The sequence below is a fragment of the Homo sapiens genome, chromosome 20 (assembly GCF_000001405.40).
Source record: "Homo sapiens chromosome 20, GRCh38.p14 Primary Assembly".
In the NCBI taxonomy this organism is placed as follows: domain Eukaryota; kingdom Metazoa; phylum Chordata; class Mammalia; order Primates; family Hominidae; genus Homo; species Homo sapiens.
In genome coordinates, this window is record NC_000020.11 from 47,479,406 (window position 1) to 47,493,700 (window position 14,295).

Here is a 14,295-nt window from a genome sequence, read left to right on the forward strand (position 1 = left end):
TTTTTAAATTTACGGCAGCTGAGAGTCTAACTTCTTAGAGGGGGAAAATTGTGAAATACTAAAATGTGAAGGTGAAATCCCTTGCCCAAGGTCATATGTGCCTTTTAGTTGGTGACCCCAGACTCTAATCCTGGTCTCCTTGTCTGTCTGTACCTATGTGTTCTTCTGTCTTCTCTGTTCTTAGAAACAAACTTTTTCCTCCCCCCACCTACAGCATGCCTTCTGTGGTCAGAATTCTGCTTTAAAAAGCCTTTTTCCCTTATTACTTTTGCACACAACTCAGTTCTCTCCAACAAGGCCTGAACTGCCATTGTTTGCTTCAAACTTCCTTGCATCCAATCCTTCCTCTTTTCAAGATAAGGCCTGTTTTTCCCAGGGCTCTGGGGAACCACACCTAGAAGAGGCTGTTCCAGACAAGTCTAGCATTGCTTCCCTTTTTCTGATAAGGTTCCATTGTTGAGAACACTCCCTTTGTTTCTTACCTGTCTCCAAAACATTCTGGAATTTACTTCTATTTTAGTTTGCTGATGTGGCCATTACTGTTAAGTGGTGGTTAATTATCTTTGTATTCTACATTCTTTTTTTTTTTTTTTTTGAGACGAGTCTCACTCTGTTGTCCAGGCTGGAGTGCAGTGGTGCGATCTCGGCTCACTGCAACCTCTGGCTCCTGGGTTCAAGTAATGCTCCTGCCTCAGCCTCCCAAGTAGCTGGGACTACAGACGTGTGCCACCATGCCCAGCTAATGTTTTGTATTTTTAGTAGAGACGGGGTTTCACCATGTTAGCCAGGATGGTCTTGATCTCCTGACCTTGTGATCCACCCGCCTCCCAAAATGCTGGGATTACAGCCGTGACCCGCAGTGCCAGCGAGAATTCGTATTTCTAACCTAACCTAATCTAATCTAATCAAGTGATTCTGGCCCACAGATAACACTTAGAGAATCACTGGGAGCTGGGTGTTGTGATTTGTGTCTGTAATCCCAGCACTTTGGGAGGCCAAGGCAGGAGGATCCCTTGAGGCCAGAAGTTGGAGACCAGCCTGGACAACACAGCAAGACCTCATCTCTACTAAAAATTTAAAAAGTAGCCAGGCATGGTAGCATGCACCTGTAGTCTTAACTACTTGAGAGGCTGAGGCAGGACGATGGCTTGAGCCCAGGAATTTGGCTGCAGTGAGCTATAATCACACCACTGCGCTTCAGCCTGGGCAACAACAGAGGGAGACCCTGTATGTTAAAAGAAAACAAAACAAAAAAATCATTGGCTTAAACTGACATTTATATAATGTCAAACTGATTAGGCTGGGTGCAGTGGCTCACACCTTGAGCTTTGGAAGGCTGAAGCTGGCAGATTGCTTGAGCTCAGGAGTTCAGGACCAGCCTGGGCAACATGGTGAAACCCCATCATAAAAAGAAAGAAAGAAAGAAAGAAAGAAATACAAATTCTCAGCTCTTCTTCCTTCCTTTCCTTCCTTCCCTCCTTTCTTCCTTCCTTCCTCCTTCTTTCCTTTCTTCCTCCTTCCTTTCTTCCTTCCCTCCTTCCTTCTTTCTCTCTTTCCTTCCTTCCCTCCCTCCCCTCCTCTCTCTCTCTTTCTCTTTCTTCCTTCCTTCCTTCCTTCCTTCCTTCCTTCCTTCCTTTCTTTCTTTCTTTTTCTTTCTTTCTTTCTTTCCTTCTTTGCCTTCCTTCCTTCCTTCTTTCCTTCCTTCCTTCCTTCCTTTCTTCTTTTCCTTTCTTTCCTTTATTTCCTTTATTTTTCTATTGACAGGATCTTGCGCTGTCACTCAGGCTGGAGTGCAGTGGTGCAATCTCACTGCAGGTTGCTCACTGCAACCTTCTCCCCCAGGCTCAAGCAATCCTCCCACCTCAGCCTCCCGAGTAGCTGGGACTACAGGTGTGCACCACCATGCTGGCTATTTTTTGGTATTTTTAGTAGAGATGGAGTCTCATTATGTTGCCCAGGCTGGTCTTGAATTTCTGAGCTCAAGCGATCCGCCTGCCTTGTCCTCCAAAAGTGCTAGGATTACAGGTATGAGCCACCATGCCTGGCCAAAACCCCGTCTCTACAAAAAATACAAAAGTAGCCAGGTTTGGTGGTGTGCGCCAGTAGTCCCGGCTACTTAGGAGGCTGAGGTGGGAGGATAGATTGAGCCAGAGAGATCGAGGCTGCAGTGAGCCATTATCCCACCACTGTACTCCAGCCTGGGTGACACAGTGAGACGAGACTGTCTCAAAAAACAAAAACAAACAAACTGATTATATTGAAGTATCATAAAGCAAGTTATAGACATGAAGTCACCCACAAAACCTAAAAATGTCCACTTCCCAGGGGTTCAATTCTCTACTTTCTCTTGCTGTCCACATCTAATCTGTTTTGAAGTTTTTCTTGTCTAGCTTCAACATATACCCTGAACCCCCATCCTTTCTCCTACATCGTCTTAGCCCAAGCTCATATCCCCTCTCGCCTAGAATACCGCAGCCACTTCTCATCTGGTATCCTCTCCCAGTCTTGACCCAACTCCCCACACAGTCACAGGGGTTATCGTTGGAAAATGCAAGTCAGATCATATCACTCTGTTAAAAACACATCCAGTGGCTACTGCAATTAGAATAAACGGCAAACTTCTTTTATGACTGACAAGAACCTGCATGCCCAGACCCTGCCTGTCTGTCTGGCATTCTCGTTGCTTCTTGAGCCTTGTTTATCACGCTCAGGTTTACTGGCGTCTTCCTCTTTCTGCACATATCAAACTCTTGGTACTTGTAATTGTCTGGATTGTACCCCACTCCCAGCCTGAATTCTGTGCTTGACAAAAGGCTACCTTTTCTATCTACTTACCTAAAGAAAGTGAAGAAATGTCTAAGATGTGCTGGTAGGTGAAAAAGTAAGGTGGGAAGTACGTATTGCATACATGTTACCTTTTTATTTATTTATTTATTTGAGATGGAGTCTTACTCTGTTGCCCAGGCTGGAGAGCAGTGGCGTGATCTCAGCTCACCGCAACCTCTGCCTCCTGGGTTCTAGCGATTCTCCTGCCTCAGCTTCCCAAGTAGCTGGGATTACAGGCATGCACTATCATGCCTGGCTAATTTTTCTATTTTTATTTTTCATTTTTATTTCTATTTTTTTGAAACAGAGTCTCTCTCTGTCGCCCAGGCTGGAGTGCAGTGGTGCAATCTTGGCTCACTGCAACCTCTGCCTCCCGGGTTCAAGCGATTCTCATGCCTCAGCCTCCCAAGTAGCTGGGATTACAGGCACGTGCCACCACACCAGCTAATTTTTGTATTTTTAGTAGAGATGGGGTCTCGCCATATTGGCCAGACTGGTCTTGAACTCCTGACTTCAGGTAATCCACCTGCCTCAGCATCCCAAATTGCTGGGTTTACAGGCGTGAGCCACTGCACCTGGCCTAAAAATTTTGTAGAGACAAGGTCTTGCTATGTTGTCCAGGCCAGTCTCAAACTTCTAGCTTCCAATGACTCCCACCTCAGCCTCCCAAATACTGGGATTACAAGCATAAGCCACTGCACCTGGCCTCTATGTTACCATTCAGGAGATATATAGCCCTTTGCTTGTACATGATTCAACTACTTCTGAAAGCATACACAAGAAACAGTTAACTCTTGTTGTCTCTAGGGAAAGATGCTGGGTGTCTAGGGAAGAGTGGAAGAAAGATTTTTACCAGAAATCTTTTGTACCTTTTGGATTTTGAACCACATTATACCTGGTCAAAGTAAATTAACAAATAAATACCATCAAGACTAACTAGTTAAATAAGTAGTTCTGTGGTTATTCTGTGCCTGTCACAAGCTGTTTTTTTTTTTTTTTTTTTTGTAGCACTGATTACAATCTGTAATTATCTTGCTTTTGTGTATGTGTTAACTGATGTTTTGTCCCCGTCCCCGCTGGATTACAAAGTCCTGAGAAGAGAGACTGTTGCTGTTTGTGTCTCACCATTACATGCCTAAGAATTAGCACAGTGCCTGGTAAACGGCAGGATGTCAACAAATATTTCTCTGGGATTTTTTGGTTTTTGTTTTTTCTGAGACAGAGTCTCGCTCTGTCGCTCAACCTGGAGTGCAGTGGCGCAATCTCGGCTCACTGCAACCTCCGTCCCCTGGTTCAAGTGATTCTCCTGCCTCAGCCTCCCCAGTAGCTGGGATTATAGGCACCCGCCACCAAGTCTGGCTAATTTTTGTATACATACATATATATATATATATATATATATATATATATATATATATATGTATTTTTTTTTTTTAAGATAGGATCTTGTTCTGTCTCCCAGGCTGGAGTGCAGTGGTGCTATCATGGCTCACTGCAGCCTGGAACTCCTGGGCTGAAGTGCTCCTCCGGCCTCAGCCTCCCAAGTAGCCAGGACTACAGGCATGTGCCACCATACCCAGCTAATTTTTTTTTTTGAGACCGAGTCTGTTGCTCTGTCTCTCAGGCTGGAGTGCAGTGGCGCGATCTCAGCTCACTGCAACCTCTACCTCTTGGGTTCAAGCGATTCTCGTGCCTCAGCCTCAAGAGTAACTGGGACTACAGGCACGCACCACCATGACCAGCTAATTTTTGTACTTTTAGTAGAGATGGGGTTTCACCATGTTGGCCAGGCTGGTCTCGAACTCCTGACCTCAGGTGATCTGCCTGCCGCAGCCTCCCAAAGTGCTGGGATTACAGGCATGAGCCACTGCACCCGGCCTCCCAGCTAATTTTTGCATTTTTTGTAGAAATGCGGTTTCACCATGTTGCCCAGGCTGGTCTCGAACTTCTGGGCTCAAATGATCCTTCTGCCTTGGCCTCCCAAATTGCTGGGATTATAGGGATGAGCCACTGTGCCTGGACTGTTTTTTTTGTTTTGTTTTTTTTTTTAATATGAAACACTTCATGAATTTGCATGTCATCCTTGCACAGGGGCCATGCTAATCTTTGTGTTATTCCAATTTTAGTATATGTACTGCAGCAGGGAGCATAAATATTTGTTGAATGAATGAATCTTGTCCAGCAGGGACGAAGTGGAAAGGAAGGTGCAATACAATCACTTGTGGATTCAGGATCTGCATACCTGACCGGCAGACCTGCTTGCTGGCTTGGAACCTCCTGAAGTTCATGACTGTCTAATGAATTCTGAATCAGCCATCCTCTGCAATTTCCTTGCTATGTCGGAGTCAGCGAGATTCTATTACCTGCTCTGGGCCTTAGGTTTCATGCCTGCAAAATGGGCCGAGTGAAATAGATCTGTGTTTGCCTAACTGGAGTTGTTCCTGTTCTATCTTTATGATTTTTGCCATATCGTCTATATTATTTAGCATTTTTATATCTGTACCATCTATATTATTTACTTAACATTTTTCTTGCATCGGTTCACTTATTTTTAGCTATATAAATATTATTTCAAAAGGAAACCTTATGTCAATACATAAGCAGAAAACCTATACCTCTTGCCATAAATGGGAGCTAGAAGTAAAAATAAAGACAGTGAAACAACACAATGTGATTACATGCTGGCTAGAGACTGTTGCCTGTACAGGCTTTAGGGTCCAGATCTGCTTGTCCTTTGTCATAAAGGAGATTGGGCTGGGGGTGGTGGCTCATGCCTGTAATCCCAGCACTTTGGGAGGCTGAGGTGGGAGAATATTTTGAGGTCAGGAGTTTGAGATGAGCCTGGGCAACATAGGGAGACCCTTGTCTCTACAAAAAAAAAAAAAAAATTAGCAGGGCATAATGGCACCTGCCTGGGGTCTCAGCTACTTGGGAGGCTGAGGTGGGAAGATCACTTGAACCTAGGAGGTCGAGGCTGCAGTGAGCCACGATTGTGCCACTGCACTCCAGCCTGGGCAAGAGAGTAAGACCCTGACTCAAAAAAATCAAAAACAGAAAAGGAGATTGTACCACACTGAGACTTCCTACTAGAGGTAGAATTAGAAGAGGATTGAAAAAGGGGTGACTGAGGCCGGGCGTGGTGGCTCAAGCCTGTAATCCCAGCACTTTGGGAGGCTGAGATGGGTGGATCACCTGAGGTCAGGAGTTCGAGACCAGCCTGGCCAACATGGTGAAACCCCATCTCTACTAAAAATACAAAAAAATTAGCCAGGGGTGGTGGTGGTGCCTGTAATCCCAGCTACTCGGGAGGCTGAGGCAGGAGTGTCGCTTGAACCCAGGAGGCAGAGGTTGCAGTGAGCCAAGATTGCACCATTGCACTCCAGCCTGGGCAATGGGAGCCAAACTCCATCTCGAAAAAAAAAGAAAGAAGAAAGAAAGAAAGAGAGAGAGAGAGAGAGAGAAAGACAGAAAGAAAAAGAAAGAAAGAAAGAAGAGAAAAGAAAGAAAGGAAAAGGGGTGACTGGCTGGGTGTGGTAGCTCACGGCTCTAATCCCAGCACTTTGGGAGGCTGGGATGGGAGGATCACTTGAGGCCAGGAGTTTGAGACCAGCCTGGGCAACATCGTGAGACCCCCCCATCTCTACTTAAAAAAAAAATGAAAGAGAGATTCCTTTCCACAGTGCTTTTTAATGGTGCCCGAATATTTTACCAAAAATAATCTCATCTACACTAGGGGAAACATTGAGTTTAAATTGCTCATTTCACAAACGTAGAAACTGAGGCCCAGTATGGGGGTTGAAATTTTCCAGGGTAGTCATTTGGGAATTTGTCAAGTCTGGACTGTAAGCTTTCATAATAGGAACTGCATTGGCATGTGCTTGGGACAGGTCTGGTATACAGTGTCATTCAATAAATGAGTCCTGAGCCAGGCATGGTGACACATGCCTATAGTCCCAGCTACTCAAGAGGCTGAGGCTGGAGGGTCCCTTGAACCCAAGAATTTGAGGTTGCAGTGAACTATGATTGCACCACTGCACTCCAGACTAGGCTACAGAGTAAGACCATGTCTCTAGAAAAAAAAAAGTAATAATAAATAAGAAAAAAAGAGAAAGAAATTAGTTTTTTTTTTTTAGAGACGGAGTCTCACTCTGTTGCCCAGGCTGGAGTGCAGTGGTGTGATCTCGGCTCACTGTAACCTCTGCTTCCCGGGTTCAAGCAATTCTCCTGCCTCAGCCTCCTGAGTAGCTGGGACTACAGGCGCATGCTGCCACGCCTGGCTAATTTTTTGTATTTTAGTAGAGACGGGGTTTCACCGTTGTTGCCCAGGCTGGTCTCGAACTCCTGAGCTCAGGCAATCCACCTGCCTCGGCCTCCCAAAGTGCTAGGATTACAGGCGTGAGCCACCGTGCCCGGCCAGAAATTAGTTTTTATTTTATTTATGTATTTATTCATTTATTTTGAGATGGAGTCTCGCTCTGTCCCTTGGCTGGAGTGCCGTGGCGCGATCTCGGCTCACTGCAAGCTCCGCTTCTGGGGTTCACGCCATTCTCCTGCCTCAGCCTCCCGAGTAGCTGGAACTACAGGTGCCTGCTACCATGCCCAGCTAATTTTTTTGTATTTTTAGTGGAGACGGGGGTTTCACCGTGTTAACCAGGATGGTCTTGATCTCCTGACCTCGTGATCTGCCCACCTCGGCCTCCCAAAGTGCTGGGATTACAGGCCTGAGCCAGGTTCTTTATCAAACCTGCTTGTTTTTTGTTTTTTTTTGTTTTTTATGATATTATTCTGTTTGCATATTTTGGTACCTTCTTTTGTGTCTTTAATAATTATTAGCTCATCTTTCGATGGTTTTTGTGCAAACATGCTATTATCTGAAAGTACGCCTTTGCTTGCTGGGTTGACTCCTAGCTCCAGGAGGATGATTTCTATATTGTAATTTTGGATTACATGAGCCCCAAGGCCTGATTTCCTGCCCTTGTATTTGCATTGCATTAGGAGGTCTTTGCTTTCTGAGACCCGTGACACCTCCTCCTCTGGCATAGTATCTATCAGTTCACACTACCGGTTGGGTTTCAGTTCCATTTTTGTTTTTTGACATGGGGGATTTCCCTTTCTTTCCTGTGAACCCTGTGATTCATTTAAAAGAGTACTTGTTATCTTTTACTCAGAATTTCCAGATGTTTTTGCGGGTGGGGTTGAGTGTTTCAGGCTATCTAATCTGCTGTATTGCTGGAAACTGACCACCTTTGCGCTTTTTTTAGTTTCTTTTCTCTACCCCCTAGCTCTGAATATTCAGTTTCTGTTCTTTCATTTCCCACCCTACTCCCTCCTGTCTCATATATCTTTTATACCTTCAGCTTCAAATCCTTTTCTTAACAAGTTGATTTACTCTGGAGTTTCTAATTTAAATGCATCCCAGGTGGCAATCTCACAGGTCAACCTGGTTCCTGTTGGGCCAGATATTCTGGGTCCAGCTATCTCATAAATCACTTGCCCTGCCCATGCATTGGCTGCCCCTGGGGCTGATGCCCATGTCTGACACAATCAGCTGTGGTGTGAGCAGAAGTTGCCAGTCACATGGTACCAAAGAAGGTGACTTCTGCTCTGTCTTTAGAAGGGTCTGTGGGTAAGTGGGGCAGACATCATGACTGACATGTACAGTAACATCCTTAACAGGTTTGCAATGTAGTTGATTGATAATAGCCAGAAGGTTTAAAATATTTTTTTTTTTGAGATGGAGTTTTGCTCTTTTTGCCCAGGCTGGTGTGCAATGGCGCGATCTCGGCTCACTGCAACCTCTGCCTCCCAGGTTCAAGTGATTCTCCTGCCTCAGCCTCCCGAGTAGCTGGGATTACAGGCATGCACCACCACCCTGGCTAATTTTGTATTTTTAGTAGAGACGGGTTTTCTCCATGTTGGTCAGGCTGGTCTTGAACTCCTGACCTCAGGTGATCCGCCCACCTCGGCCTCACAAAGTGCTGGGATTACAGGCGTAAGCCACCACGCCTGGCAAATTTTTATTTTTTTTAAAGCTAGAATCTTAACTTGCCTTATACATTCACCTCTGGCATAGATACTGTTTGCATGCCCCAACATGGCTACTCCTTCCATGTTCCTACTCTGTAAGTACTAAATCATTGATAGAGGGTTTGTCCTCTCAAATAAGCTTACTGTCATCACTTTAAAACACTATTTCTTTTCTTTACTTTTTTTTTTTTTTTTTTGAGACGGAGTTTCACTGTTCTTGTTGCCCAGGCTGGAGTGCAATGGCACGGTCTTGGCTCACTGCAACCTCTGCCTCCTGGGTTCAAGCAATTCTCCTGCCTCAGCCTCCTAAGCAGCTGGAATTACAGGCACCCGCCACCACGCCTGGCTAATTTTTATATTTTTAGTAGATACGGGGTTCCACCATGTTGGCCAGGCTGGTCTCGAACTCTTGACCTCAGGTGATCCGCCCGCCTCGGCCTCCCTAAGTTCTGGGATTACAGGTGTGAGCCACCGCACCTGGTCCCCGAATTCATTTTTTAAAAAAGGAAGTGTTTTATTCCAGGGCTGGAGTCAGCCAACCTTTAAATGCCCCCGAAACTCTATATGATGGGATACCATGTAGCCAGTGAAACATTATGAAGCTGCTTAACATTCAACAGTTAAAAAAGATCTCCCAGATACTTTACTTTTAAAAGAAGTTGTGGATACATTGTAGGTGTATATATCAATGGGGTATACAGGATGTCTTGTTACAGGCATGCAATGTGAAATAAGCACATCATGGAGAATGGGGTCCAGATACTTTAAGTTAAAAAAAAAAAAAGAGATAAAGCAGTGTGTATAATAGGCCTTATTTTGTGTTACAAAAATGTATATATATATAGACCAGATGCGGTGGCTCACGCCTGTAATCCCAACACTTTGGGAGGCCAAGGCAGGCGGATCACTTGAGGTTAGGAGTTCAAGACCAGCCTGGCCAACATGGTGAAACCCCGGCTCTACTGAAAATTAAAAAAATTAGCTGGGCGTGGTGGTGCACGCCTGTAATCCCAGCTACTTGGGAGGTTGAGTCAGGAGAATTGCTTGAACCCGGGAGGTGGAGGTTACAGTGAGCAGAGATCACGCCACTGCACTCCAGCCTGCGTGACAGAGGGAGACTCCATCTCAGAAAAAAAAAAAAAAGAATATATATAAATACGTGTGTGTGTGTGTGTGTGTTTATTTGTAAATGCATCTCTTAAATAATACCTAAGAAATTGGCAATGGTGGCTCCTCTGGAAGAGGAAGTGGGTGGCTGAGGGACTTACATCGCATTTCCTTTGTAGAAGTTAAAAATAAATGAAGAGGCTGGGCGCAGTGGCTGACGCCTGTAATCAAAGTGCAAGCAGCAGTTTGGGAGGCCAAGGCGGAAGGATCACTTGAGGCCAAGAGTTCAAGACCAGCCTGAGCAACATAGTGAGACCTTGTCTCTACAAAAAAATTTTAAAAATTAGCTGGGTGTGGTGGTATGCGCCTGTAGTCTCAGCTACTCAGGAGCCTGAGAAGCAGTGGAATAGTTTGAGCTGCGGTGAGCTATGACTGTACCACTGTACTCCAGCGTGGGTGACAGAGCGAGACCTTGTCTCTAATAAAATAAAAAATAAGGGCAGGGTGCGGTGGCTCACGCCTGTAATCCCAGTACTTTGGGAGGCCGAGGCGGGTGGATCACCTGAGGTCAGGAGTTCAAGACCAGCCTGGGCAACATGGTGAAACCCCGTCTCTACTAAAAATACAAAAATTAGCTGGGTGTGGTGGCATGTGCCTGTAATCCCAGTTACTCGGGAGGCTGAGGCAGGAGAATCGCTTGAGCCCAGGAGGTGGAGGTTGTAGTGAGCCAAGATTGCACCATTGTACTCCAGCCTGGGTGACAGAGCGAGACTCTGTCTCAAAAAAAAAAAAAATAAAATAAAATAAAAGGAAGGAGGAAAAAAGAAAGGAAAGAGGAAGAGAGGAGGAAAGGAAAGAAAATATTGTCTGGGTACAGTGGCTCATGCTTGTAATCCCAGCATTTTGGGAGGCTGAGGCAGGCAGATCACCTGAGGTCAGGAGTTCCATACCAGCCTGGCAAACATGGTGAAACAAAAATTAGCCATGTATGCTGGCACACGCCTTTAATCCCAGCTACTCGGGAGGCTGAGGCATGAGAATCACTTAACCTGGGAGATGGAGGTTACGGTGAGCTGAGATCTCGTAACACTGCACTCCAACCTAGGTGACAGAGCAAGACTCTGTCTCAAAAAAAAAAAAAGAAAAAGAAAAAGAAAATGGGCCCGGAGTGGTGGTTCACTCCTGTAATCCCAGCACTTTGGGAGGCTGAGGCGGGTGGATCACCTGAGATCGGGAGTTCGAGCCCAGCCTGACCAACATGGAGAAACCCTGTCTCTACTAAAAATACAAAATTAGCCAGGCGTGGTGGTGGACGCCTGTAATCCCAGTTACTCGGGAGGCTGAGGCGGGAGAATCGCTTGAACCCGGGAGGCAGAGGTTGTGGTGAGCCGAGATCATGTCATTGCACTCCAGCCTGGACAACAAGAGCAAAACTCCGTCTCAAAAAAAAAAAAAAAAAAAAGAGAAAATGTAAGAATAGCTCCTAAGCCAAGCTGGGAAAATATTTGCTGAAGAATGGCAACACCTCACATTTATCTGTCTCTAGAAAAAGGCAAGGGTTAAGTCAGTTCCTCAAAAAGGCCACCTCAGAAGCCATGGCCTTTCCACTGGCAGTACTTCTCTCTTGACTTTACCCTTAAGAGGAATTGGGATCTCAGATCTATATACCAAGCCTGGCCCATATGTTTGAGGTCATGAAAAAGAATGTGGGGGCCAAAAATTCATCCTCCTAGCTCAGTGTCTTCAAGCCTTTGGCTGAATCGCAGAACAGCAACAAACATATTTCACATTGTGATTCAGTATTGACACTTGTATTTCTTTCTCTTTTTTTGAGATGGAGTTTCACTCTTGTTGCCCAGGCTGGAGTGCAATGGTGCGATCTCAGCTCACTGCAACATCTGCCTCCTGGGTTTAAGCAATTTTCCTGCCTTAGCCTCCAGAGTGGCTGGGATTACAGGTGCACGCCGCCATGCCCGGCTAATTTTTGTAGGTTTTTTTTTTTTTTTTAAGATGGCCGGCTAATTTTTGTATTTTTTTAGTAAAGATGGGGTTTCATCATATTGGTCAGGCTGGTCTCGAACTCCTGGCCTCAGGTGATCCGCCCACCTTGGCCTCCCAAAGTGCTGGGATTACAGGCGTGAGCCACCACGTCTGGCCTATATATATACATATTTGTAACACAAAAAAAGGCCTATTATACATACTGCTTTACCTTTTTTTTTTAACTTAAAAGTGTCTGAACCCCATTCTCTGTGATGTGCTTATTTCACATTGCAAAACTGTAACAAAACATCCTATGTACTCCATTGATATATACACCTACAATGTATCCACAACTTTTTTTAAAAGTGAAGTATCTGGGAGATCTTTTTTAACTGCTGAGTGTTAAACAGCTTCATAATGTTTCATTGACTACATGATATTCCAACATATATAGTTTGGCTGACTCTTGGTATCCCATCATATAAAGGTTGGCTGACTCCAGCCCTGGAGTAAAACACTTCCTTTTTTAAAAAATGAATTTGGGGACCAGGTGTGGTGGCTCATGCCTGTGATCTCAGCACCTAGGGAGGCTGAGGCGGGCAGATCACCTGAGATCAGGAGTTCAAGACCAGCCTAGATAACATGGTGGAACCCCGTCTCTACTAAAAATACAAAAATTAGCCGGACATGGTGGTGGGTGCCTGTAATTCCAGCTGCTTAGGAGGCTGAGGCAGGAGAATTGCTTGAACCTGGGAGACAGAGGTTGCAGTGAGCCAAGACCATGCCATGGCACGCCACCCTGCGCGACAAGAGCAAAACTGTCAAAAAAAAAAAAAAAAAGAAAATGAGTTTTAAAGTGATGGCAGTAAGCTTATTTGAGAGGATAAACCCTCTTCCAGTGATTTAGTACTTACAGAGTAGGAACATGGAAGGAGTAGAGATGTTGGGGCATGCAAACAGTTCTATGCCAGGGGTGAATGTATAAGGTAAGTTAAGATTCTAGCTTTAAAAACATAAAAGTTAAAACCCTGTGGCTATTATCAATCAATTACATGGCAAACCTGTTAAGGATGTTACTGTACAAGATTTTGCATGGACATATGTTTTCAATTCACTTGGGTATATACTTAGGGGTATAATTGATGGGTCATATGGCAATTCTTTGTTTAACACTTTGGAGAACTGCCCACCAATTTTGCGAAATGGAGTACCATTTTACAGTCCCACCAACAGTGTACAAATGGTTCAATTTCTCTACATTGTGGTTAACACTTAAAAAACAAAACAAAACAAAACAAAAAACTGGGGTCAGGCACGGTGGCTCACGCCTGTAATCCCAGCACTTTGGGAGGCTGAGGCAGGCGGATAACCTGAGGTCAGGATTTCAAGACCAGCCTGGCCAACACGGCGAAATCCCATCTCCATTAAAAATACAAAAAATTAGCTGGGCCTGGTGGTGGGCACCTGTAATCCCAGCTACTTGGGAGGCTGAGGCAGGAGAATGGCTCGAACCCGGGAGGCAGAGGTTGCAGTGAGCCGAGATTGTGCCATTGCACTCCAGCCTGGGCAACAAGAGCGAAACTCTGTCTCAAAAACAAACAAACAAACAAACAAAAACCAAAAAAAACCCCAAAACTGGAATGCTTCACAGAATTTGCATGTCATCCTTGTGCAGGGACCACACTAATCTTCTCTGTATTGTTTCAGTTTTAGTGTATGTGCTGCCAACATGAGCATAGTCCTTATTTTTATTTTAGCCCTCTTACAGTGGGTACTTTTAAAGCATTTGATAGCAAATGATTTTTTCTTCCAAGGCAAATATGTTTAATATGTAAGTCTAGAAAGGAAAAGCAAAACAAAAATGAGCTGGGCTTCAAATTCTTCCAGCTGTGGAGTCATTTGCAGGTTGTGGAGCAGGACAAGTCTGTTGCAGCCAGGCCAGGTGCCAATTCCAACAGGCGCATGTGTCATCTCTGGCACAAAAATCACAGGTCACCAAACCCTGATTTGAGTTTAAAGGAAGAGGCATGAATAAGGCAACTCTGGGTTGTAAAGCTCAGGCTGCTCTTTATCTCCAAAAATTTGTCTTAAATATGATTCTTCTCAGGGGTGTTTTTCCCCTCTTTTAAGCAAAACAAGAAGTCAAGTACTTGTTTACCCTAAATTGCATTTTTTGATCTCTCTCTTCTGCTCTCTCTTTCCCCCTCAGTTGTGTGTCCTTCCCAGGGAGAAAAGTGGTTCAGAGTACAGCCTGGGGGTGGAGCTTGGGGCTGTGCCAGCTCATTTTCAGATTAGGTATTTCGTAACAGAGTTTTAGGCATGTGCAGGGTTTAGGCTTCTACCCAAGGAATC

General features: G+C 45.0%; 2 pseudogenes, besides 7 other annotated features; both read right to left on the reverse strand.

The window, feature by feature from the left end:
• Positions 251 to 804: an enhancer, noted in NCBI's record as "NANOG-H3K27ac hESC enhancer chr20:46108400-46108953 (GRCh37/hg19 assembly coordinates)". NCBI's record gives its function as "activates a minimal SCP1, AML or CMV promoter by ChIP-STARR-seq in primed H9 embryonic stem cells {active_cell/tissue: H9 hESC(primed)}" and the evidence as "EXISTENCE:reporter gene assay evidence [ECO:0000049][PMID:30033119]".
• Positions 805 to 1,357: an enhancer, noted in NCBI's record as "H3K27ac-H3K4me1 hESC enhancer chr20:46108954-46109506 (GRCh37/hg19 assembly coordinates)". NCBI's record gives its function as "activates a minimal SCP1, AML or CMV promoter by ChIP-STARR-seq in primed H9 embryonic stem cells {active_cell/tissue: H9 hESC(primed)}" and the evidence as "EXISTENCE:reporter gene assay evidence [ECO:0000049][PMID:30033119]".
• On the reverse strand, positions 4,873 to 4,976 carry RNU6-497P (RNA, U6 small nuclear 497, pseudogene; annotated as a pseudogene).
• Positions 7,150 to 7,219: an enhancer, noted in NCBI's record as "active region_17997". NCBI's record gives its function as "activates an Ori minimal core promoter by ATAC-STARR-seq in GM12878 lymphoblastoid cells {active_cell/tissue: GM12878}" and the evidence as "EXISTENCE:reporter gene assay evidence [ECO:0000049][PMID:35858748]".
• Positions 7,820 to 8,149: an enhancer, noted in NCBI's record as "active region_17998". NCBI's record gives its function as "activates an Ori minimal core promoter by ATAC-STARR-seq in GM12878 lymphoblastoid cells {active_cell/tissue: GM12878}" and the evidence as "EXISTENCE:reporter gene assay evidence [ECO:0000049][PMID:35858748]".
• Positions 8,180 to 8,229: an enhancer, noted in NCBI's record as "active region_17999". NCBI's record gives its function as "activates an Ori minimal core promoter by ATAC-STARR-seq in GM12878 lymphoblastoid cells {active_cell/tissue: GM12878}" and the evidence as "EXISTENCE:reporter gene assay evidence [ECO:0000049][PMID:35858748]".
• Positions 8,440 to 8,489: a silencer, noted in NCBI's record as "silent region_12978". NCBI's record gives its function as "represses an Ori minimal core promoter by ATAC-STARR-seq in GM12878 lymphoblastoid cells {active_cell/tissue: GM12878}" and the evidence as "EXISTENCE:reporter gene assay evidence [ECO:0000049][PMID:35858748]".
• Positions 8,510 to 8,569: a silencer, noted in NCBI's record as "silent region_12979". NCBI's record gives its function as "represses an Ori minimal core promoter by ATAC-STARR-seq in GM12878 lymphoblastoid cells {active_cell/tissue: GM12878}" and the evidence as "EXISTENCE:reporter gene assay evidence [ECO:0000049][PMID:35858748]".
• RNU6-563P (RNA, U6 small nuclear 563, pseudogene) lies at positions 13,573 to 13,680 on the reverse strand (annotated as a pseudogene).